The sequence below is a fragment of the Homo sapiens genome, chromosome 8 (genome assembly GCF_000001405.40).
Source record: "Homo sapiens chromosome 8, GRCh38.p14 Primary Assembly".
NCBI classification, from domain to species: domain Eukaryota; kingdom Metazoa; phylum Chordata; class Mammalia; order Primates; family Hominidae; genus Homo; species Homo sapiens.
In genome coordinates this window covers 29,569,772-29,595,123 of record NC_000008.11, presented here as the reverse complement: position 1 = coordinate 29,595,123, position 25,352 = coordinate 29,569,772, and the positions used below count along the sequence as shown (strand labels likewise).

The 25,352-nt window shown below is 46.2% G+C and overlaps 1 long non-coding RNA gene across 1 annotated transcript, besides 5 other annotated features; it reads left to right on the top strand.

Annotated features, from left to right (window-relative positions):
* Window positions 471–650: a silencer, noted in NCBI's record as "silent region_19073". NCBI's record gives its function as "represses an Ori minimal core promoter by ATAC-STARR-seq in GM12878 lymphoblastoid cells {active_cell/tissue: GM12878}" and the evidence as "EXISTENCE:reporter gene assay evidence [ECO:0000049][PMID:35858748]".
* Window positions 2,392–3,591: an enhancer, noted in NCBI's record as "CDK7 strongly-dependent group 2 enhancer chr8:29449049-29450248 (GRCh37/hg19 assembly coordinates)". NCBI's record gives its function as "activates an origin of replication core promoter dependent on BRD2, BRD4, P300/CBP, MED14 and CDK7 cofactors, with strong dependence on CDK7, by STARR-seq in HCT116 cells {active_cell/tissue: HCT116}" and the evidence as "EXISTENCE:reporter gene assay evidence [ECO:0000049][PMID:35650434]".
* On the top strand, window positions 3,808–8,156 carry LOC124901925 (uncharacterized). Its single transcript, XR_007060878.1, has 2 exons — window positions 3,808–4,163; window positions 4,975–8,156. It is a non-coding gene; the product is annotated as an uncharacterized LOC124901925 (long non-coding RNA).
* Window positions 9,418–10,117: an enhancer, noted in NCBI's record as "OCT4-NANOG-H3K27ac hESC enhancer chr8:29442523-29443222 (GRCh37/hg19 assembly coordinates)". NCBI's record gives its function as "activates a minimal SCP1, AML or CMV promoter by ChIP-STARR-seq in naive and primed H9 embryonic stem cells {active_cell/tissue: H9 hESC(naive and primed)}" and the evidence as "EXISTENCE:reporter gene assay evidence [ECO:0000049][PMID:30033119]".
* Window positions 21,670–22,189: an enhancer, noted in NCBI's record as "NANOG hESC enhancer chr8:29430452-29430971 (GRCh37/hg19 assembly coordinates)". NCBI's record gives its function as "activates a minimal SCP1, AML or CMV promoter by ChIP-STARR-seq in naive H9 embryonic stem cells {active_cell/tissue: H9 hESC(naive)}" and the evidence as "EXISTENCE:reporter gene assay evidence [ECO:0000049][PMID:30033119]".
* Window positions 24,961–25,060: an enhancer, noted in NCBI's record as "active region_27202". NCBI's record gives its function as "activates an Ori minimal core promoter by ATAC-STARR-seq in GM12878 lymphoblastoid cells {active_cell/tissue: GM12878}" and the evidence as "EXISTENCE:reporter gene assay evidence [ECO:0000049][PMID:35858748]".

Here is a 25,352-nt window from a genome sequence, read left to right as displayed (position 1 = left end):
AGGGTCCCAACAAGGAGTGCACCAAAAGCCTCCCTCTCAACCTGGCACCTCTCTTCTCCTGGAGAAGGAATTCTGGGTATACTGATATTAGACCCACAGTGCTTCCCACGTTGCAGAGAGCCAGAAGGTGCTGGCATTTCACCTTATTATGCTCTTTGGCAAGGACTGCCTCTGCCCCAAATCCTCCCTCTTCCAGACTGTCTGTTCTCTCCACTGCTCTTTGATAGAGGCACAGCAGGGCTTGGTTCCTAACATGCTCAAGGGAAATATTTGAGATTTGGAAAAATTTCCTCTCTGCACAAAGCCTGACTTTCAGGATGATTGTCCTGATAGACAAAGAAAGTCAACTTTGAGACTTAAAGTCAAGTGAGACAGTGGGAACTCTTTGCTCCAGAGGTCCTGTCCTGTACTTCCCTGGGTATGTTCAGTCTCAGAGCCCAGTGTTGAAAGTTGAATGTTGACAGAGAACAAAATATGTCAAGAGGAAGTGAAAATGTCAAGGCTACATCAGCAGCCTCATCAACTAGCCAAGACAGGAACAAATCAAGTAATAGCGTCTCCTATTCCAACATCTGTGCTGAAGGTGCATTACTTTGTACTGTGTTCCCTGCAGCTTTCACTGTTGCTTTTTATAACAATGACATCCAGTGAATCAATCTCCTGTTGAATGAAAAAATTATCTATTAGAGAACATACTTCATGTTATTCATGTCAAGGAATAGAATCTGGGGGCCATAGACTGTACTCAGCACACACAAACACACACACACACACACACACACACACACACACACACACACACACTATATCTATCTATCTATCTATCTATCTATCTATCTCCTGCTTTATACCAAGCATTGAGGAATATACACAAAGACGGTTCTTGCCCTTGAGAAGGAAGAGAAAACAAGCACAAATGAAACAATTACTGATCTATGAATTCAGTGAAGAGAGAGAGGTGTGTGGGGCAGAATTATCTGAGAATCTTCCTGGAAGGGTTAGAGATTGAGATCAGCAAAGGAAAGAGGTAGAGGGCAGGAGAACCAGGAAGCTTGAGCAGGAAGTCAAGAGTGAGCCTTCTCAGGGCTGGGAGAGAGGCAAGGATGACCAGGATGGAGAGAAGAGAGCAGTGGAAAATGAAACCAGACAGGGGAAGGGATAACTTATAGAAGACCTTAAAGATCAGATCGAGGAGTTTGGATTTGAAATGGGTTTTCTTAGGCTAGGCTAGGCTGTGGTAATAAAGAGACCCAGATATTTTCAAACACAATGCAGGTTAATTTCTTGCTGATGTAGCTCAACGTCTGATGTCATTGGTGGGTTGCTTTCTTCCTCTCAGGAATTCAGGGACCCCGGGGCCTTCATTTCCAAAGCTGTCATCTCCTAAGCTGCACTGTTGTCTGCTTATAGCTGGTGTTTTTCTTTAAGTGTTGCTCATTTCACTCACATTCCACTTCCTGGAACTCAATTAACTGTTACATCTGAATACCTAGGAGACCAGGAAATGTAGGAGAGCCATGAACCCAAGACGAGGAAATGGATCTTTGGTGCCCATGCCCTAAGGAGCTGTGATAGCTGTTCTTGGCACTCAGCTCATCACTTCATCATTTTAGCAGGACTCGGGAAGGTTTAGAGAAGAGAAATACCCATTGCACATCGACAACTAGGAGACCATGCATGATGTTCGGAGACCTGAAGCTGTCCGATGGCAAAAGAATACAGAAGAAAAGAGGGTTCAGAAAAGAACCATGGAACTGGGGCAGGGGAGATTGACTTGGGGGAGTGAGTAAAGGGATGTTTAGTGAATTTACTAAATCCAAAGTGACTGCAGGGTCTGTGACATCAGAGCCTGGAGAGGGGTGAGAGCTATGACAGAGGTGTTGGTGGTCAACACTAGACTGGGGCAGTCAGTCTGGGGAGAAAGAACAATCAGGAAGGTGATTGTTCTCACAAAAGTCTCACAAAAGCAGTAAGAGGGAACTTCAACAAAACGGGTCAATGCCAAAGCATCTCAACTTTCTTTTCTTTTCTTTTTTTTTTTTTTTTGAGATGGAGTCTTGCTCTGTTGCCCAGGCCGGAGTGTAGTGCAGTGACATGATCTCAGCCCCCTGCAGCCTCTGCCTTCTGAGTTCAAGCAATTCTTGTGCCTCAGTCTCCCAAGTAGCTGGGATTACAGACATGCATCACCACACCTGGCCAATTTTTGTATTTTTAGTAGAGATGGGGCTTCACCATGTTGGCCAGGCTGGTCTCGAACTCCTGACCTCAAGTGATCTGCACACCTTAGCCTCCCAAAGTGCTAGGATTACAGGCATGAGCCACTGCACCTGGCCCATCTCAACTTTCTTACAGGAACTATGACCTCAACTCCTCAGGACTATGTCTCCCTGTCCTCAGATGATGAATTGAGAGACCACAGATCCACAGATCCTCAAGGGTTTTACCAGATAAACTAGTGCTATCCTAACCTTCAGATTGGCCCTTGACCATTTTAGACCTGGAGGAACCCATGCTCTGTTTGAAAAAGACTCCAGAAAAAGAGATGCTCCTACCACCATGAAGTCTATACCACTGCCCCCAGCTGCAAATTTTAGCCACTTTCCATTAATCGTTTCCAAAGGCAATGGTTCTATAAACCAGCCACGGGGTAAGGTGCGCAGGATCTCCCACACAATAGGCCCTCAGTGATGCATATTTATGACGTCCCATGAATCTAAGTGACCCACAGTTGACTCTTGAACTATACCTAATAAACGACCCTATTAGGTGGCAAGTCCTGTGGCTCTCTCAGATCTGTTGTTCCTAACAAAATCCCTACCACCACCCTTATACACACACGGCCTCTCTCAGAGAGGGCATCCTTTTCCCGGGGTTCTGTGACTAATGTTTGATTCAGCTGCATGCTTAGCTTCAAAGTCATTTATTCCTAAAAGCACATCCACCCGTTCTTTTCTCCCCACATCAGCCTGGGGGAATGACTCACCTGATGTTTGCTGTACCCCAACTCTTCCAACCTCCTCAACCTCCGGAGGCTGAATGGACGGTAGTGAGGAGCAGAGACGAACTCCCTAGGGGTAACAGAGCCCACAGCCACACCCTGGATGGAGAGCTGCATGATCCGAGGCACAATGGCAGACCTGAGGGGAGGGTCTGGGAGCAGGAGTGGGCTGCAAGGAGAGGGGGAGCTGGAGGGGAGTGAGGCGAGGTGGGGGACCATAGCCTGCCTAAACCCTGAGTACACGGAGATGGCACGACGTCCTTCTATCCCTGCCAGGGCCTCTCCATGACACCCAGAACACCCTGGTGGGCTCAGTCCATGATTCATGGTGTGCAGTCCCACGGTGGCATCCAAGATGTACTGGAACAAAGGAAAAACCAAAGGGAGAATGTTTTTTGTTTGTTTGTTTGTTTTTTGGTGTTTGTTTGTTTGTTTTTGAGACAGAGTCTTGCTCTGTTGCCCAGGCTGGAGTGCAGTGGTGAGATCTCGGCTCACCACAACCTCTGCCTCCTGGGTTCAAGCAATTCTCCCACCTCAGCCTCCCGAGTAACTGGGATCACAGGCATGTGCCACTATGCCCAGCTAATTTCTTTTTTTGTATTTTTAGTAGAGACAGGGTTTCACCATGTTGGCCAGGCTGGTCTGGAGCTCCTGACCTCAGGTGATTCGTCCACCCCAGCCTCCCAGACGGCTGGGATTATAGGTGTGAGCCACCATGCCCCGCCCAAAGGGAGAATGTTCTAATGCAGCCCTGTGGGATGACTTGGCTGCAGGAAGTTACATAAAGGTGACTTAGGTGTTACAGTGACATGAGAGACCTAAAGGCTGTCAAAGACTGTGACCTCTACCCCATGGAGGATGCCCATCGCCTGAGGATGAACCCCCACTCCAGATCAAAATATAAAGGAGCAGGGTTGCAGCTCACCTGGGCTGGGGATTACCCGGACTCTTCAGAAAACAAAACTTACACTTTGTCATGGAGCAGCTAGAAATTCACCTCAACATACTCAATAATTCAGCATGTTTGAGCACATATTCCATGCCAGGCACAGTGCTGGAACAGGGACAGCTGGAACAAAGTGGGAGACCCTCTAGCCACCAGGATCCCAGAGAAGAAGCGAAGTGACTTGCCTAGAACACCAACCAAAAATGACGGAGCCAAAAGGTGAGCTCCTATTTCCTGTTTCTCGTTACCATCCACTGTATCCCACCTTCTCCCAGGGAATTATTTTACAACATAGGAAACATGTTTGCTTAGGAAATCTCAAAATTAAAGGCAGGAGCAAGAAAATGTCCAGCCACTGTGCTATGATTTCTGAGCCAGTGAGGGCTGACCATCACTGTGGGGAGAGCCCAGTGTTCTTGGTCCAGACCCTTTCTTTTGTCACTGGACGCAAGTGGACCTGTTTCCCCATTTTCTCTGCAAAACCATCTCCTACTCAAATTCATTCATAGCCCTAGAATCAGGCAGCCTCCTCTACCTGCTCGTCTCTTAAATGTGAACAACCATTAAGAAATGCAGGAAGGAAATCTGGTGGATCCATTTCCATAGCCCTTAATCCCTCTGTTCGTCCTTCCTTGTATCAATATCACTTCCCCATTCTCCATTGCCTCCCCCCAGCTAAAGGAAATCTGACAAAGCAATGAGTCTATAGTGGAAGAAATTATTAGCCTCAGGTGGACATCATTTGGATCCAACCTACATCACCTACTGGCTGTAGGACCATGAGCAAGTTATTTAAGCTCTCTGTCCCAGTGTCTTCATTCACAAATTGAAATGGACCATGCCCACCCCTCGGGGGGTTTGTGACAGTTAAGCGAAATAACACATAAATGGCGCTCAATACATACGTGTAGCATGTAAGTAGAACTCAATAAAGACTCATTCCTTTAGTTGACAGCTTATTCAAATCTATCATAGTTTTTGTTGTTGTTGTTGTTGTTGCTCTTGCTTTGTTTTGTTTTTTAAACCACAGGGCCAGAGCTGGGTCAAGGAGGAAGGAGGAGAAGGAAGAGCATCCTTTAGCCGCCCTCTGACTCTGCCTTTTCGGGTCTCGCTCCTGGCCTCACTGTAGACATCATCCCCAGGCACACCTCCTCCGCACCTCCTTCCTGCTATAGAGTACAGTCCCACAGGCGAGCCAACCCGGTCACAAATGCCCTGAGACTTGCACCTTTCTCCTGAAACGGAGTGCTCTGGCCGGCTTTCGTATCCCCCTTAGCCCTGCTCCTCATCTCTGGGGCTGCTTTACCTGCAAAGTCTAATCAAGAAAGGGATGGGGACGCTGAGAAGGAGGAGTCTTTACCCGAATCCTGTTCCCATTTCTACCACCAGCAGCACCCCTTAGGCGAGTTAAGCTTTGGGACCAAAGGGGTCCACTCGGTTTCTCTGAGAAACTGGCAGATCCTATTTTTCAGAGTCATCTGCAACAATGTCTCCTTGCAAGGTGGCTTTGACTCCCCCACGGGGAGGTGGGGCCTAGGTTCCCTCCCTCTGAACCTGGCAGTCACAGAAAGAACACTCTCGTGACCGCCAAGGCCAGGTCATAAAAGGTGCTACCACTTCTGCCTGGATGCCTTCTATAATTGTCATCCTCACTGACCTGACACAGAGAAGTTCAACGTCCAAAGGTCCAAGAAAGGTGGAGGCGAGACAGGGACTAGGACTTGGCCGCACTGTGCCCTGAGTCGGGATGCAGGGCTGGTTGTGGCTGATTCCCATGCCCCACAGCTGAGCCCTTTTCCCCACTGGCACTTTGATCCACCTCCAGGCACGTGACCTAAGTCCCTATGGGGCACAATGCTAAACAGGTGACATGCACCCAGAGGCAAAAGGGGAAATGGACCATCTCCCTGGGACAAGGCAGCTGGTATAGCTACTGTTGGGTGACAGTCGCCCTGCAGGAAGGAGGGCTTGGTCCTGGGGCTAGGTCCTCCCACCTCCACTTTCACTTCCATGACTCCTACTGGCTTCAGAGCATGAAGGATCCTCTGACCCTGGAATCTTACCTCGAGCACCTCTGCCAAGGAAAGGGGAGAGAAGTTGCCTTTCCACTGTAGGCCACCTTTTATGTCTTAGTAGAGTGCTGGGGCATTTTGATCCAGGGAGGCAGAAGGAGGCACAAGAGGAGACAGACACAGACAAAGGGAGGCAGAGACTGCTGAGAGCTCAGGAGATGAGTCTGGCTCAGCAGGGCCTGTGGTTTGCCCACTCTGTGCTCTGCACCAAGGGTTAAAAGGTGCCCTGTCCTCAGGATACTTGAAATCTAGTGGGGATTTGGACACCGACATAAACAAAGTCATGTACTAAGGAAGCTGAGCTTGGTAAAGAAAGCAGAAGTAAAGAGCTGGGCCCCACAAACTCTGAGCTCCAGAGAAGGCTGCAAAGAGAAGGCTGAGTTCTGAAGGCTCTGTCCAGTGCCTTTCACCCCAAGGCCTTCGTAGTGTTAACACAGCATTTACGTGTTTAAGTCCTCCCTACGTGTCAGGCATGATTTTACGCCCTTGACTTGTTTGACTTCATTTAATCATCGACAAGTCTAGGTGGCTGATACTCTTACCTGTTTGTTTGTTTATTTATTTATTTTTGAGACAGTGTCGCTTGCCCCAGGCTAGAGTGCAGCAGTGTGATCATAGCTCACTGCCATCTTGAATTCCTCTGCTCAAGTCATCCTCCCACATCAGCCTCCCAAGCAGCTGGGACTACAGGTGTGCACCATCATGGCCAGCTAACTTTGTACTGTCTGTAGAGACGGAATTTTGCTATGTTACCCAGGCTGGTCTCAAACCCGAGGGCTCAAGCAATCCTCCTGCCTCAGCCTCCCAAAGTCCTGGGATTAAAGGCATGAGTCACCATGCCCAGCCAGTGGTTGAAACTCTTATTATGGCCATTCTGCGGATGAGAAGACTGAGTCATCAGGAGGCAGGGCTTGCCAAGGTCACTGTGTTGGGGAAACACAGTCAGGATATGAACTCAGGCTCTTGGGGTCCCTGCTGGTCACTGTCACCCCGTGGCCCTTCTGAAGAATGTCACAGGAAAGCAAAGCTGAGAGGGCCTCGTGAACTCATCCATGCCTGTCTCCCACACTGACCTGCACCTTTGGTCCCAGAGGTGCTTATGAAAGACAGATGCTCAGATCCCTCCTTAGAGAGTCAGATTCAGGAGGTCTGATGTGAATCCCAGAGACCTGGAATTTTACTGATGGCCCAGATAATTTTTATGGTCAGATACTGACCTAATTCCACCCAGTTTCCCACTAAATTTTGTAAGTGAGGAAAGCAATGCAGAAGAGTTACAGGAAGGCCCAGTGTTACATGCCCAGGTCATGGCCCAGGGCCAAGCCAGCCCCAAAGGTGGGACCCTGGTTCTCTTAGCCTTCCCTGACACCTGTCACCCTGGCTGCTGCTCCAGGGAACCCTCTCTCGGGAGAAGCTTGAGCAAATGTTGATCTTCCCAGAACAGGGGTCTACAGAATCCAGAGGTGTGGAAACAGTGGGATGCTAATAGCTGTTAGAATTTTGGTTCATCCATAGATCCAAACTTTGAAGCATTGAGACAAAAGATAGCTGTGCTTTGATAGAGAAAATAGATAAGAAAAGGGTGTGAAATCTGAGTGTCACAACAGAGGCAGAAGCAGATGGAAACTAGGTTTCTGGAGTAGGGGAGGTGGGGACCAACTTTGTTTCTCCTGCTTTTACCTTGTCCTAGTTGGAATCATCTCTCCTCATCCCAGTTACAAAGCCAGAGAGGATTTACAGTCAAAGCATCTACACCAGCAGTCCCTCTTACTGACACTGATCAGACAGGGAGGTAGAACTGATGGAAAACACAGCACAGCATCAGAAGCATAGCTTGGGAGCTTATTAGCAGCAAAGTGCTGTTCTCTGCGGCATTTTCTGGTGCTCCAGAAATACATCCCCTTGGATGGAGATACTACCGGGCCATCTAATGTGAAATTTTCTGCTGGAGTGGTTAACGCTGGAGATTTCCTTGAAAAACATCGCCACTGAGAGAGGCTGGCTTCAAGTTTCATATATATGTATATGTATCTGTGTGTGTGTGTGTGTATGTGTGTGTCCATGTGTGTGTATATATATTTTTATATATAAATACATGTGTATTTATATATATAAATAAATTTATAATGTAATATATAAATATTTATATATAAATAAGTATATATATTTTATTTTTTTCAAAGTCAGGGTCTTGCCTGTCACCTAAGCTGAAGTGCAGTGGTGTGATCACAACTCACTGCAGCCTCAAACTTCTGGGCTCAAGCCACCCTCCTGCCTTAGTCTCCTGAGTAGCCAGGACTACAGCCCGGCTAATTATTTTATTTTTTATAGAGATGGGATCTAACCCTGTTATCCCGGCTGATTTCAGACTCCTTGCCTCAAGTAATCATCCCACCTCAGCCTCCCAAAGTGCTGGAATTACAGGCATGAGCCGCTGCACCAGGCTGATGTATTTTTCCAGTGCAGAACTTGGGGGCAATTCCAAACAACCACACCTGCCTCCCACATGGGTAATAGTGACCCGTAGCTATGACACCCCCACTGCAGGCCTGTGTTTATTTCTTCTGTTATGTAGGAAAGGGCCTTCTCACCCACAGTCACCAGACACTAATTTTCCAAACTCACAGCCTCCCACCTTCTGGAAGGAATGACAGAAACCCAGCCATGAGACAATAATTTTTTTTATTAAAAATCACTAGAGTGGCTGGTTCTGAAAAAGGCATCACACTACATCTCAAGAAGAAATTTCTTTCTTCCTCAATGGTAAATCAGCCAAGCTATTCAAAGGATGGTAGACTACATCATCCCCAAACATTGCTCCAAAGATTTGAGGTAATCCACCTTCCCCACCCCCCTTGCTGGAATAATAAGATGTCAAAGGTGGAGAAGACTGGAGAGGTGAAGTTACCCAGAGGATACAAAGCTAAGATGCTCATAGGAGGCAGATAGCTAAAGTAATGAGGGACTCAAGCCACGTGGGGACTGCTGTGACTCAGAGTTCACATCCCACCCTAGGGAGTAACATTCAAAAAGTTCAAGACACCAGTCTGTCTGTCTTCAAATCCCATGCCTCTTCCCTTAAGCCAGGTATATTAATTTCCTAGAGCTGCTATAATAAATCACCACAAATTTGGTGGCTTAAAGCAATAGTAATTTATTTTCTTTCATTTCTGGAGGTCAGAAGTCCAAAAATCAAGGTGTTAGCAGGGCCATGCCTCCTCTGAAGGCTCTGCGGGACAATCCCGCCTTACCTCTTCCCACTGCTGGTGACTACAGGCATTCCCTTTATGTCTACATGTTTATGGATGTGTCACTCCAATTCCTGCCTCCATCTTCCCATCACCTTCTCCTCTGCATATCTCTCTTTTCCTCCTCTTTCATCTCTTATAAATTTGGATGTCATTGGATTTAAGACCCACTCAGATAATCCAGGATGATCTCATCTGGATATCCTTCATTTTTTGGAGATGGAAGGGGTCTCTTGCTATGTTGCCTAGGCCGGTCTCGAACCTCTGGCCTCAAGAAATCCTCCCCCTTCAGCTTCCAGAGTAGCTTGGATTACAGGCCTGCTGCCACAATAAGATCACGTTCACAGATTCTAGGGGTTAGGATATCTATGGGGGCGGGGGGCTACCATTCAACCCACTACTCCAGAGAACAAATGAGCCATGCTGGGACCTGCAGGTGAATCTCAGCAATGCAACTTCCCTTTGTCTGACTTCTAAGAGCCATTTGCATCCACATTTGTTCTTCACTGTTGTTAGCAGAGGCGGTCCTTCCAGCTTCAGCGTGACACCAGTGGCGGGTGTGTGCTTATCAAGAATCCAGGCTACCTTGAGCTGCAGCCGTTGTGACTAGTAGTTTTTTATTGTAGCTCTCATCACCTTTTTTTCTTATGGAGAAGAACTTCTTTCTACTTTTCAGTTCACTCTCCTTGTCCCCCTGTGCTTTCAGGGCCATCTCCTCCTCATTCTAGAAGTTTCCCTAATCCTGCCGTCTTTTTTTTTTTTTTTTTTGAGATGGGGTCTTGCTCTATCACCCAGGCTGTAGCCCAGAGGTGTGATCTCAGCTCACTGCAACCTCCATCTCCCAGGCTCAAGTGATCCTCCCGAGTAGTTAGGACTGCAGGTGGCTACCACCATGCCTGGCCAATTTTGTGTTCTTTGTAGAGTCAGGGTTTCACTATGTTGCCCAGGCTAGTCTTGAACTCCTGGGCTCAAGCCATTCTCCTGCCTCAGCCTCTCAAAGTGCTGGGATTACAGGTGTGAGCCACCGCGCCTGGCCCCTGGCCCAGCCCCTAATTCCTCTCTTGCAGTTCCTTAGCAATTGCCTCCCTTGGGGTTCCCTGACTCAGTGGTTCTTAAACTTTAGTGTCCATCAGACTCACTGGAGGACTTATTCAAGTACCGCTGGTTGGGCTTCACCACCTGAGTTTCTGATTCAGTGGGTTTCCGAGTGGAGTTAAGAGTTGACATCTACATCGTGGGTGCTGCTGCCGCCGCTAGTCCAGAAACCACAATGAGAACCACTGCTCTTGCTTGGCCCTTCTTCCTGCTCCTCTAGTGGTGTTCATTTCTGACTGGGACCCCATTTCCACATCCGCCTCCCATCTGCCACCCTCTGCAACCTGTGGTCGCTTACTCAATCCCATCTGCTGGCATCATCTCCAAACAGCTGGGGCTACAACTGATTTAGTTTCTCTCCTATACCTTTAGACTCCCACCTAACCATTTCAGACCTCTGAGGCCCATCCAAAAACCTTTCCTCTGATTCTTGACCTTGTTTCTTCATTAAGTCAAAGTTGTGGAAACCCAAGGAACTTCCAACTTACTTGGAAGCCCTCAGAAAACAGGAAAATCTGGTCCCAAGCAGGGGAAATGGCAGCTGTGCTGAGAAGCCTGACTTTAGATATTCTCAATGGACTAATAAAGTGGGTAGTCTGGTTCGGGCTCCAGCCTGGCCGGAGACGATTACAGAGAAAACATCCACCCTCATCTCCACCCACCCATCCACCCATGCTTCTCTGTCCTCACCAGACCCATGTGCCCTGGAGTACAACCACTCTTCTCTAGGGTGAGCCCTCAGATGCCAGCAGACCGTCTTCCCAGGACATTGAGTAACTCTTGGTGAAGCATTTCCAGCATTCACGCACTCCCCAGCAGCCTGCAAGACATTTTCTTTAAGGAATTTCAACACACATAACTAGCGCTTTGTTCTGATGTGAATGAGGGTTTGTCTGGGTGCCAGTGTTTCACCATACAGGAGATTAGCAAACATGAGCTGAAGCCTCTTAGCAGACACATTTCAGCCTTGATGATCTTTCTTCATACTATGCACAAATGTCAAACCACTCTAGAAAAAAGAAAGAGAGACGATGTCAGTCCGATTTGAAGATCTAATTAATCTGGACAATCTGCTGTTACAAACCCTTTTAATGTCAAGTATCTGCTGTCAGTTTCGCTAAAGATGGTATGAGCTAAGCATGGCCAGGTACTGTCGTCAGAGTTCTGCTAATAGTGTGTCAACACTCAAGAGCTTCTCATACTTTCTGCTTATGCCCTCATAAATTTCAGTTTAAAAAAAAAAAAAGAGGTCGAGTGCTAATGGTGATAGTTCACATGTAGCTGTTATGTCCCAAGTGAATGGTGGACTTCTCCACAAATGGCCCAGGGACCTAAGTGGAAGGGAAGGTCTAACTTGGTGCTGGAATTGGATACAAGGTACGGCTGGGGTTGGGTTGGCAGGTCTCTTGTTAAGGCATGATGGTCCCTTATCTCAATTCCTTGCTCTGTGGTTTTTGAAAGTTTTAGTAAGAGGTCTATATAAGTTTTCTAGAGCTGACATAACAAAGAACAACAGACAACATGGCTTAGGCAACAGAAATTTATTTCTTCACAGTTCTGGAAGCTAGAAGTCTGAGATGAAGGTGCAGGCAAGGTTGGTTTCTTCTGAGGCCTCTCTCCCTGGCTTGCAGATGGCCACCTTCATCTCCCAGTGTCTTCACATGGCCTTCCCTCTGTGTCTGGGTCTGGGTCTAAATTTTATCTTCTTCTAAGGATGTCAGTCATATTGGATTAAGGTCTACCCATATGACCTCATTTAACCTTAGTTACCTTCCTAAAGATCCTGTCTGCAAATGTAATTACATTCTGAGGTACTGGGGGTTAGGACTTCAACATATAAATTAGGGGAAGAGACACAATTCTGCCTGTACTGCTATGATCATTCATTTAAAATAATACTACCCATGCAAAGGGTTTCATTATGTCTAAGATGCATGTTATTCCCCATTCTAACATCTGGGAAGTCAGGCTTTATCTAACAATCTATGATGTGGTGTTCATCAGTGGTATGTAAAGTAGTGATGCGCCTTTCAAGGGGTGGCATCTTGGATTTAATAAATTATGGTAGTCCTTGCAATACCCCACTGAATTAGGTACTATTTTTATCATCATTTTACATGTTAGAAAACTGAAGTATACAGGATAAGCACCTTGCCCAAGGACACCATCCAGTAAGCAATGGCGGTGGGTTTCAGGCCCACTCAGCTCACCACTGTGCGCTGGGTTCACGGTGTTGATCTGAGGCTAAATGAGTTAGCATCTACAAGGCACTTAGAACAGTGCCCAGAACAGAGTGTGTGTGCAACAAATGTCAGAAATTATTATTCCTTCTTTGGAGAAATCTAAATGGCATGGCTTTACCTTATCATCACAGCACACTGAGCGTGTGCTCCTGAGAGCAGGGCCCCTCCACAGTCATGTGTCACCCTAATGCCTTCTTTCTTCATGAGTGAAAATATTTGGTCTAACAAAATATAATGGAAGTTTATTTATTTGTTCCTTCCACCGGAATGTGTGTTTTCCAATTATCTTCCGTACACAAGATTTGATGAGCTTTGAAGGATTAAAGACAATGAAGAAGGAAGGTCCCTATTTTTGAAGGACTTAGTATCAAGTAGGGGAAGAAGGCAGGTAGCAAGTCAGTACATGCCAAGGCAATGACAATTGCCATGCAGACGATAAAAGGGAGGCATTGTAGGAGTGGAGAGGAGGGACTTTACTTCTGGCTGGGTGACCGGGTAAATGGCATCTAAGAAGTGAAAGCATTATTTCAAAAGGTTAAGAATGGGTCAGGAAGGTAGTTGTGCTAAACAATAACAGGGACAAAGGCCCAGAAGTGACCAGGTCCTATGGGAAGAGCTAGCTCAGTTTGAAAAAGGCAATGTGCAGGGGAATCATGGAAGATGCACCCAGTAAGGCAGTGGTATCGAGTGAATGTTTGTATCCCCAAAAATTCCTAAGTGGAGGCCCTCACGTGATGGTATTTGGAGGTGGGACATTCGGGAGGTGAGTAGATTTAGCTGAGACTATGAGATAGTTCCCCTTGGTGGGATGAGTGCCTTTATAAGATGAGGAAGAGAGACCAGAGCTCTCACTGCCATATGAGAATGAGAAGGCAGCCATCTGCAAGCCAGGAAGAGAGCCCTCACTGGGAACCAAATCTGCTGGCACCTTGATTTTTGCCTTGCATCCTCCTGAACTGTGAGAAGTAAATGCTTGTTATCTAAGCCACCTAGTCTGTGATATTTTTTTAGGGTAGCCTGAGCTGACTCAGGCAGTTTAAGGCCAGATTGTTGGGGGGCCTTGGATGCTGCAGAAATTAATTTAAACTAAGGAGAAAGCAAATTAAGTTCTTGAAGCATGAAAGTTTTGGAGGCAGGAGCAATGACTTCTTCAAAATTATGAATGGTGAAATTCAGTGAGAGACAGTGTGGGAAGGGATGGCTTGTGGAGAGAGGAGATTACAAGCCGGGAGGCCAAGGAGGAACTCACTGCAGTGGTCTAGGATAGACAACCAACTCGTTCTGGTTTGCCTAGGGCCTTTCTAGTTTTAGCATGGAAAGTCCTGCTTCTCTCAGTCCTAGGCAACCAGGATGGTTGGAGTCCCCACCCACAGGAGGGAAGGATGCCCTAAACCCAGCTTCAGGAAATGGAGAGGGAGGAACCCCATAAAAGTGAGAGACACTGTGAAGGAAGAGCCCATCCCCATGGGAGCTAGTTAGATGGAGGCAGGGCTAAAGGACAAGGGGAGTTAAGAATATGTCAGAGGTTTGGGGCATGGCTATTCAGAAAAAGGAAGGGGTATGTCAGGGAAGGAAGCTGGCTGTGGGGAACCAGATGAAGAATCTCATTTTTTACTCCATGAGTTTAGGTGGTCTAGAGCCAACCAGTTGGGCTGTGAGTGTGTGGATGTGAGGATAGTCAGAGCTTCTGAGGACTGACTCCATAGCCATCCCCTGGAATGAACGGACCAAGGGAAGCCTGGCATGGGGACAGCAGAAGAAGAGACCACTCCTCAAAGGAAAGATGGTCCATGGCCTAGACAACAGTACTCTTTACCACGGGAAAGAGTCACCAGGGGAATATGTATAAATGCAGATCTCTAGGTCATACTCCATTCCAAGTCAGAATTTAAGGCTCAGGACTCTACACTTAAAAAAAAAAAAGTAAAGACAATGTCTCACTGTGTCACCCAGGCTAAAGTGCAGGGGCACGATCATAACTCTCTGCAGCCTTGAACTCCTAGGCTCAAATGATCCTCTCATCTCAGCCTCTCTAGTCACTGAGATTACAGGCATGAACCACTGTACCCAGCACAGGATCGTATATTTTTAACACATTCTCCAAGTGATTCTTTTTCAATTAGTCCAAAGACTCCAATTTGAGAAAAGGTGGCGCATGGGCATGGGGTTCAGAGAGCAGACAGTGTCTATGCCAAGTCACCACCAGTGGGGTGTCCTCTCCCACTTCCCCAATTCCTTTGGTGGACATATTGCATGCATCTTGGCTGCTGTGCTGTTTGTAAGCTCTGGCTGGCTGTGCCGCCTCCTTCTCTCCTTGGCTGCCCTGTTCCCACAGGCCTCCTAGGTCTGGATGTGCCCAACACCCTACTTCCTGTCCCTGGTGTTTAGGGCCAGGAATAGCAGTTTGCTTCCATGAACAACTCCCCTCCACTCTTCCATCCGACGCCTAATTTTCCAAAATCCTTTTCCCTGCCCTCCAAAGACTGCTCCTTGTGTGTTCTGGATTGTATCCAGAGGGTCACTGTAACCTACCATCAGTCACCACCGCCAAACAGAAAGGGATGGCTGAGAAAGAGCCACAGTCAAACAAAGGTAAATCATATCTCTGTAGTTCTCCAGGGCGCCTGTGCTCAGACCACCAGAACAGGTTCAGTTACCAGCTGAGAGCCACAGCCTGGAACAGACCATAAACAACCTGTGTGGAGGAAGGAGCAAACTGGCTCCACTCTGTCACCTCTTCACCAGCCCGAGAGATTCAACCAAAGCTGTAGTGCACTTCTGGAACACTCTCATAGTATCCATGCATTCTACATTAGAAAAGGGCAGGGAGGGAGATCAGAGCCATCGCTGCTTGCCCCAGGCTCCTGACAGAGCAACAAACCCATAGTACAATGCTCAGCATACTACTCAGTATACACTAATAATCTCATAAATGCCTGGGAGTATTACAAGGCCCAAGAACAACAGAGTGTTTGTTACTTCCAATGAACACAAGATAAGGAAGCTAAGCTCTGCCCTTTTCACTGAACTTAAGGTTGAATTTATTCAACTTCACTTAAAAGAATCACAGAAACGGCCAGGCACAGTGGCTCACGCCTATAATCCCAGCACTTTGGGAGGCCAAGGGGGGTGGATCACGAGGTCAGGAGATCGAGACCATCCTGGCTAACACGGTGAAACCCCATCTCTACTAAAAATACAAAAAATTAACCGAGTATTGTGGCAGGCACCTGTAGTCCCAGCTACTCGGGAGGCTGAGGCAGGAGAATGGCGTGAACCCAGGAGGCAGAGCTTGCAGTGAGCCGAGATCATGCCTCTGAACTCCAGCCTGGGTGACAGAGCAAGACTCCATTTCAAAAAAAAAAAAAAATCACAGAAACTTTCCTATTAACAAACATCAACATTCATGCTCTTATGTACAAAGCATCATACCTAGTGACTTCATGTTACTGTGTGCCACAAACAGATGACCTGAGTGACCATATTCAGTTATTTCATTTCCTGCCATTGGCTCTAGGCTCTATGACTTAATTTTCTTATTTTGTTCATTTAACAAAGATACATTGAGCACACACTGCATGCCAGGCATTTGGGATACATCAATAAGGAACACAAACAAAATTCCTGCCCTGGGGGAGTCATAATCTATCTAGGCAGGGGTGAGGGTGAGAGTGGGGAGACAGGTGATGAACAACTGACACGATAAATAAATTATAAAGTATGTTAAAATGAGGTAGGGGCTGTGGAAATAAAATAGAACAAGTGAGGATGGGGTAAGCAGGGAAATAGCATGCAGCTCTAAATAATGGTGTCAAGTAGGCCTCATAGGAAGGCAACGTGTGAGTAAAAACTTAGGTTTTCTGGCCTGAGCAAGTGGAAAGATAGGATTGCTGCCAACTGAAGGAGCCTGAAGCAAAGCTGGCTTGGAGAAAGAAGTCAAGAGCTCAAGTGTGAGACATGTTCCACCAAATTCTAAGTAGAGGTGTCAAGAAAGCAGTTGGATTTTTTTAGTTTGGGGTCCCGGAGCAAGGACTAAGATATACTTTGATTTCGGGTGCCTTTGGCGTATAAATGGAGTTTAAAGCTTTGGTACTTACTGAGATTGCCAAGGGAGGGAGTGTGGAAAGAAAAGAAAGGAGGAACAGGAAGTAGGCAGGAGAAGCCAGCAGAGAGGACCAAGACAGAGCATGAGCATGAGCCACGTAGGAGGAAAGGCAAGGGCACAAGTCCCTGGAAACCAACCCAGGAGCTTGTTTCCTGGAGGAGGAAGTGACCAACTGACCGAATGCTGTGGATAAGTCAACTAGAGGAGGAGGACCATTGGCCATGATCAGAGTCAATAATGGGGCCTCACCAGCAGCCCCTGGTGATGAATAAGGGACGTGAAAGCCTGTTTAGAGAGAATGAAAGAGGGACGGGAAAAATTGAACACAGTTAAGTTCAAACAGCTCTTTCAAGGAATTCTCTTGGCAAAACACAGGGCAATAGCTGGTGAGGGAAGTGGAGTTAAAATAAGACTTTTGTTTGTTTTTATAAGAGGGAGAATGATGCAAAAGGGAGAAGTGAACAGTTGTAGAACAATAACTTTAGGAAAACAAAAGGGGGAAAAGATCTAGTTGAAAAACTAAGAGATTAACTTAAGATGGGGACACAGAGAGTCCTTCTGCAGTAGGTGGGAAGGCAGGGGTGTGGGCACAGATGGGGGTGGGAGGCGATGGGGCCATGCCATCTGCAGACGTTCTCTCTCAACTGCTTATGTTTCTTAGGAAGGAAGAAGCAAATCATTGGCTAAGAGTGAGGCCAGATAGCAAGGGTTTGAGGAGGCAAGAGAAATCGTGAGCTAATTGTTTGGGATTGTGGGAGAGGAATTGGGAACATGCTGTGTTCTGTTTTCTGACAGCATTAAAGACCTAACCGAGGATTGTAGTTGTGACTTCAAGGTGAGCCCAGTGAGTGAGGCAGAGGGCTTTCCTCCAGCCATGTTCAGCTACTCAGCTGCACATGCCTAATCAGGGCTGTGATTCTGGCCAAAGGAGCTAAGGATTTTTGCAAAGGAGTGATCATAACAATTAGCCATGGGGTGTAAGCTGGGCAAGGAGGGGAAAGAAGGCCCAAAGGGATGCGGAATAATGAACAAATGGTAGGATAGAGGGAATGGGAGCTTCCAGTGGGGTCATTAACTCTTGGAGTCAGGCTCTCGGAGAGACCAAGCTGTACAGAGAGGAGGTGGTGGCCTGAGATTGGGATGCACAAGCCTGAAATATAGGGGAGGTGCAATTGTTGAGGACTGATCTGGAATAGGACACGGGAGTGAGCAAGGGAAGGAGCAGAGGACAAATCATCAGAGGAGAGGTCAAGATACGGAGAGTCCTGGGTGTTGGAAAGATCATCTATGAGAATTCCAAAATCACCAAACATTAAAAGGAGAGGAAAAGTGGAGAGACCAACAGCAAATCAGAAGCTAAAATCTCGAAGAAATCAGAGAGGGACCCCCTTCATCCATGGCAGCAACAGTGAAGAGTATTGATAGTGTGATATAATCTGATGGGGGATTCAAAGCTGGTGCTGTTTGCAGGGGAGAGTGGGGAGAGGCCTTTAGGAGGCAGTGAGGTTCGGGGAGAACACTTAGCTCTCCTCCAGGCAGGCCCAGGGGTACAAAGGCTAGGAGAGAAACATCCTCACCCTGAGGGGCTGCAGGGTAAGCATTGTCCTGGGGAGAGATTTGGAGGGAAGAGAAGAGATTAAAGATGTATGGGATTTTGTTCATAATGTAACAGGAATTACAGAGGCACAGAAGAAGGGGTTCAGGAGATAGGAATGGGAAAGAGGACAGAATCGTGGGGATGCAGAACCATAGAGGGATTAGAAGGTGTGAGAGGAGGGTGACCTGCCAGGCTGGCACTCCCATGATAACTGAAATATACAGAGGGCATAATGAGATTAGTCCTGCTAAACTCAAAACAAATATTGGTGTTAACACTGTAAGTATGGAAAGGTAGAGAGAAGTAGGTACCTCAGGCCTCCTCTTGAGCCCCCAAAATGGAGGGATAGATGGCCAAGAGTGGCAAGGTCATAATTCCTGAGCTCAGGGACTATTCTTCATGCCTGTAAGTGACTCGGAGATACAACTATCCTCCTTGAATCTTGTATATGAGGCTACAGACATTTAGGAAAACCCAGAGTGCCCTCTGCCTCACCAAGACCAAGTCTCCACTTGACTTCAGTCAATGAAGGGTAGAAATTTTGTTGGTTTTTTAAGGTATTTTGTAAATATTGTTAACTTCCTCATATCTAATATAATAAAAATAATGAGACTATCCTAGTAACAAGAGAAAGAACTCTTATGGAAACAGACATAAAAATTAAAGGGAAAATTGAGAGTGGTGAAAAAGGCCAAGTATCACTTCTTTGGAGAAACTTTGAACTTGCAAACAACTTAATTTAAGAAGAACCTTAAGGACCTAACCTGTTTACGAGTAAAGGAGCTTCATAAATTCACTAGCCAATATTCAGAACATCATGTGTCCCAGATAATAACACATTGCTATATTGCAGATAACTGATCTATAATTCACATCATTGTTACTCTTTTGAATGATTTTCTGATGTTACTGCAATCAGAGGAAGAGAAGAAAGCCTGTTTGGAAGATAAAGCTCTGACCTTAAGGTATTTATTGTCAGACTCACAGAATGATGGATGTAAAAACACGGTCAAGGGAAATCATCTAGTCCCAGTGGCCCTTTTCTTCCATTTCAGAGGCGATCCTACCACTCAATACTTGGGAGGTCTCGGTTTACACTTGCATTGAAATTTCCTTTTTCATGTATCTGTTTCTTTACTTTGAACCTGCTCACAAGCTTCTGGAGAGGAGGCTGTCCTGTGTATAATTCATGATGCACAAACACTTCATGGTCAATTGTATTGATTCTATCCCAATCCACAAATTCCAAGGGACTGCCTGAGTTTTCCTACATTACTGCTTTACCTATAGTATTACTTTCTTTTACCTATAGAGCTATGTACAGAGAGCCTTTCTCTTGCGACTCTGCATTGGTGTTGACATAGACAGCATTTTTGCCAGTTTGACGCCAAGGTCCTGGAGCTTAGCTCTTCTGGCCATTTCAAAGGAGATCCTTACTGAACATGAGTAGCCTGAAACACCAGCAGGAGGAAGGTAGGTGAGAGCCCTGGGCAAGCCTCTGAAAGTTTGGAAAGTTTGTATGTCCTGAGGGGGGTTGGAGGTACATGCCCTAATAGGACTTTCCTTTGCCCTTGACACAGTGCCTCTTATTCATGGTAAGGAGATGTTCAGACCTCTGCCACCTGGCTTGGAGTGTCTAGGCAAGTATCATGGAGGCAGTGACATTTAAGAGATGAACAGAACTTTCTTAAGCAAACAATGAGGGTGGCTGTCATTCAAACAAGTGAATAACAGAACATAAAGGATCTGTGCATGGGACAGAGTACAGGGGATAAGCACAAGGGACAGAGAATAATTCTGAAGGCACGAAGGGTCCCTGGCAAGCACAGAAGGAGAGATGGATGTCCACTATTCTTTGACTTCTGAAGTCTCCCTCACCCTTCATGCCCTGCCCAAAGAGAACTCCTGCACATAAGGTATGCCTCCCTCATCTCTCTGCCCCCAGTCTCTCAGAGTATTCCTCCTGGTGCACAGATCATATTCGGCCTTCATTGTACCAATGCATCACTCGCAATTTTTGTCCTCCTTCTTTAGATGACAGGGATTACATCCCCTGGGTTCAGTATGCAGCCCTCTGTAAGCTCTGCTCCTAGCTAAGGCTGTTTTCTACTTTTTAGAATGATAAACGTGTGTGTGTGTGTGCGCGCTCGCGCGCTACTATAGACTGCAAACTCCTCGAGCACAGATACTTTACCCTTTGTATTGAATGACAGCCTTCCTTCATTGTTTGCTTAAGAAAATCCTATTTGTCTCTTTTTTTTTTTTTTTTTTGAGACAGAATCTCGCTCTGTCACCCAGGCTGGAATGCAGTGGCATGATCTCTGCCCACTGAAACTTCCACCTCCTGGATTCAAGTGATTCGCCTGCCTCAGCATCCTGAGTAGCTGGGATTACAGGCTCGCAACACTGTGCCTTGCTAATTTTTGTATTTTTTGTAGAGATGGGGTTTCACCATGTTGGCCAGGCTGGTCTTGAACTCCTGACCTTAGGTGATCTGCCTGCCTCGGCCTCCCAAAGTGCTGGGATTACAGGCATGAGCCACTGCGCCCAGCCCCTATTTATCTCTTAAATGTCACTGCCTCTGTAATACCTGCCCAGATACTCTGTGTCCCCAAGCCCTCTGGTTCACATATCTCATAAATAAACTGATTATACGTTAACGGTGTTCTAATTTCATCAGTTACAAATCTATTATTGTCTTTTACTGAAAGGGCGAGACTTTGATATTACTCATCTTTACATCTCTAGCTCTTTGCCTAGTGTCTGGAACATATTAGGGCAAAAAAAAAAAAAACACCTTGTTGACCTGAACTGGAGGGATTTCATGGGCAGAAGCCCATGTAAATAAGGTAAAAATTACATGATATGACTTTAGGATGCAGAAAGATCTTTCCTTCCCCCAACAAGTTTTTTCTTAACCTCTGATCAGGGCAGGAAATTGTACCAGGAGGCCTCTGCCTCTTTAGTCTTGGGCTTTAATTACATTGCAGAGTGGCTGTCCTAGGAACAGTTTCCATTTAAAGCCTCCCTATCCCTGGAGGGTCATGACTCCGAGCTTCCCAAGGTTGTGGGGTAACACACACTGGGCCCACTACACATCTTTTCATGGTATCAGTGCCATTATCATGGTTCCCTAGAAGCTGCCCTGACCATGAACAGCAAGGGGAACAGGAGCATAGACAACTCAAACAGGGAAAATCTTTGGAGGAAGGAAATGGGCTACAAAGGAGATAAGAGAGAGGAGAACCCTTGGTTGGAAAAAACTGATTTACAACTCATTTTACACCATCATCACTACCACCCTCTCACCCACTCTGTTATTTAAGTCCATTGCCCTGTCACTTAAAAAATTCAAGGACTTTTCACCTTGCAGTGCATTTAACATACATTTAGAGGAGCAACTTAAGGCTCTCCAATGCCAACTCTCCTTACACAATCTGTAGATAAGAATCAGAAACTGATCTCACCCTTGACAGAGTAATGCCGATTGCTTTGGGCAGGACAAGAGTAGGCTGACACACCAGTGCCAAAGTGAAGCCAACCTAGGAAGAGGCTAGGAGGAAAATGAAATTCCACGCTGTTCATGTAAAGGCAAGAGCCATGGGTGCTCCATGAGGCTGATTCACCATTCAAATGGTAATGACAAAAACCATTCAAAAGGCAGTAACTTCTCTTTGAGTAGGTTAATTTTATTGTTAGAGATCATGGGCTGATAACCTGACCATAGATGAAGATGCGGGATTTTCCTTGATATCTTTGCCTGCTCTGAGAATCGAGCACTGTAAATAAAACATGGGAATAGGTGCTTTCCCATTTTTTGTGTGTTTTCCAGTAAAAGTTTATTTTTTTAATTATTATTTTAAAAAAATTCTTTTAGGGACAGAATTGCCCTATTGCCCAGGCTGGTATGCAATGGTGTGATTATAACTCACTGCAGCCTCCAACTCCTAGGCTCATGTGATCCTCCCATCTCAGCCTCCCAAGTAGCTGGGACTACAGGCATGCACCACCATTACTTGCTAATTTTATAAAGTTTTGTAGGGACGAGGTCTCACTTTGTTGCCCAGACTGGTCTTGAGCTCCTGGCCTCAAGGGATCCTATCACCTTGGCCTACCAAACTGCTGGGATTACAGGCGTGAATCACCACATATGCGGTCTAAAATTCCATTATAAATGAATGCCTTTCAATTAGTTTTACAAAAGAAAAAAAATCCACAAGTATTGATAGGACATTTTCTCCTCTTTTCTCCTTTTCTTTACCAAGTCCCCAACCTCAGCCGTTCCCTAATTCTAATGACAAATTTAATTGGCTCAGTGGAAAGAACAAAGAGGATTGCAGGTGCTGGGGATATAATCGACACAATTACTTGGTCAGCTCTTTTCAAATATTATTTATTGAAGCCTCTCTATGTGTCTAGTACACTCAGGTGCTGAAGGAGTTACAAAAAATGCAAGTGCCATGATATTTGACCTCAAAGGGTTGCATACTCTTTGGTGATTTTAGGCTTCCATACAGAAAATATTGCAATAGCTGGTAAGTTTCAGTAGCCTTTCCCCCTGGCCCAGCCTTTCTAAGAAAGTTTCAGGAAAAAGGATCTAGCATATTGAGTGTTGGCTATTCACATTATTGAACTTAACTGGAACCCTGGCATGGTAAATTTTGTGCAGTCATGTAAGTACCAAGCTTCACCCTTTTTTTTTTTTTTTTTTTTGAGACAAGAGTCTTGCTCTGTCACCCAGGCTGGAGTGCAGTGGCACCCTCTCGGCTCACTGCAACCTCAGCCTCCTGGGTTCAAGCAATTCTCCTGCCTCGGCCTCCCGAGTAGCTGGAAGTACAGGCGTGTGCCACCATGCCCAGGTGATTTTTGTATTTTTAGTAGAGTTATTTTACCATGTTGTCCAGGATGGTCTCAATCTCTTGACCTCATGATCCACCTGCCTCGGCCTCCCAAAGTGCTGGGATTACAGGTGTGAACCACCTCACCCAGCCCAAGATTCCCCCTTTCAACAGTGCACAGTGTTTACCCCTTCACCAATATCCAATGCCTCCCTCATTCTGCCAGATGACTTCCTGGGCACTGCTCCTGCAGTTCACTAAATCAATCATCTCTGCTCTAGGACAGAAGCCACTGCTCTGCTCTTTTCCCCAGAGTCTCATCCTCAGTTGTAGCCTAGACCTCCGTCCCCTCTACAAGTTCTTCTTGACTTATAACTCTTCTGGCCTCTGTGTTTTACAGGTTGTGTCTTCGAGTCTGTGTCCTTTAAACTGTGTGTTCAAGCCTGTGTGCTTGTACCTGCATCCTCTAGCCTGTGTCCCCAAGTCTCTGTCCTCTAGGCTGTGTCCTCTAGACTGTTGTTTCTCTTTAAACCAAACCTCCCTCATCTTGCTTTCCCCCCCTACAAACTTTCTACACTTCAATATAAACTGTAATTTCTTCCCTCTCAACATCATTTTCATTAGTAGGCTAGGGAGCAGATTTAGGGGAAGTGGTTTCAGTTTGAAACATTGATTTGGGGTGCCTATGCAGTATTAATCTGGAGATGCCTCATATGCAATTGAATGTGTGGATCTGAAACTCACAAATAAAGTCAGTGCCAAGGGCATAAGATTGGAGAGTTGGCAACATGTAGAAATTTCTTTCTTTCTTTTTTTTTTAATGCACAACAAAAACTCTGGAATGGATGGAGATTGCTCGGTGACTACAAGAAGAAGAGAAGTCTGAGAGTGGTAGTACCTAAAAAATACATTTAAAAGATAGATAGTCAGGCCAGGCGTGGTGGCTTACTTTTGTAATCCCAGCACTCTGGGAAGTGAAGGCTGGTGGATCACTTGAGGTCTGGAGTTTGAGACCAGCCTGGGCAACATGGCAGAACCCCTTCTCTACTAAAAATATAAAAATTAGCTGGGCATGGTGGCATGCATCAGTTGTCCCAGATACAAAGGAAGCTGAAGCACAAGAATCACTTAAGGCTAGGCACGGTGGCTCACACCTGTAATCCCAGCACTTTGGGAGGCTGAGGCGGGTGGATCACGAGGTCAGGAGATTGAGACCATCCTGGCTAACATGGTGAAACTCCATCTCTACTAAAAATACAAAAAGTAAGCCGGGTTTGGGGGCAGGTGCCTGTAGCCCCACCTACTCAGGAGGCTGAGGCAGGAGAATGGCATGAACCCAGGAGGTGGAGCTTGCAGTGAGCCAAGATCACGCCACTGCACTCCAGCCTGGGCGACAAAGCAAGACTCCATCTCAAAAAAAAAAGAATCACTTAAACTCGGGAGGTGGGGGTTGCAGTGAGCCAAGATCCCACCACTGCGCTCCAGCCTGGGAGACAGAGTAAGACCCTGTCTCAAAAATATAAATAAAATAAAATATATGTAATCAGAGGAGAAACCAGAAGGACCAAGAGAAATAAGAGAAAAATGAGATGGATGTGGAGTCACAGAAGCAATGGGGGGGAGAGAGAAGGAAGCAATGGGAGGAGAGAGATAAGGATGAATATGCCATTGACTTCAGGCACTACATTGTGGGTCTGAAATTCATGACCCAAGAAGTTTCAGAGAAAAGAGGAATCAAGAATCTAAGTATTGAATAGATAGACTGAGAAGTAACAGAAAGGTGAGACATTGGTTACAGACCCTTTGATATGGTTTGGCTGTGTCCCCACCCAAATCTCACTTTAAATTGTAATAATCCCCACATGTCAAGGGCAAGGCCAGGTGGAGATAAATGAATCATGGGGGCAGTTTCCCCCATACTGTTCTCATCGTAGTGAATAAATTTCATGAGGTCTTATGGTTTTATAAATGGGAGTTCCCCTGCACAAGCTGTCTTACCTGCTGCCATGTAAGAAGTGACTTTGCTTTTCATTCACCTTCTGCCATGATTGTGAGGCCTCCCCAGCCATGTGGTACTGTGAGTCAATTAAACCTCTTTCTTTTATAAATTACCCAGTCTCAGGTTTGCTTATTACCAGCGTGAGAACAGATGAATATATTCTTCTTCTGAAAAGCTTTAACTGGAGCGAAGGAGTCATGTGGTAGCCTAG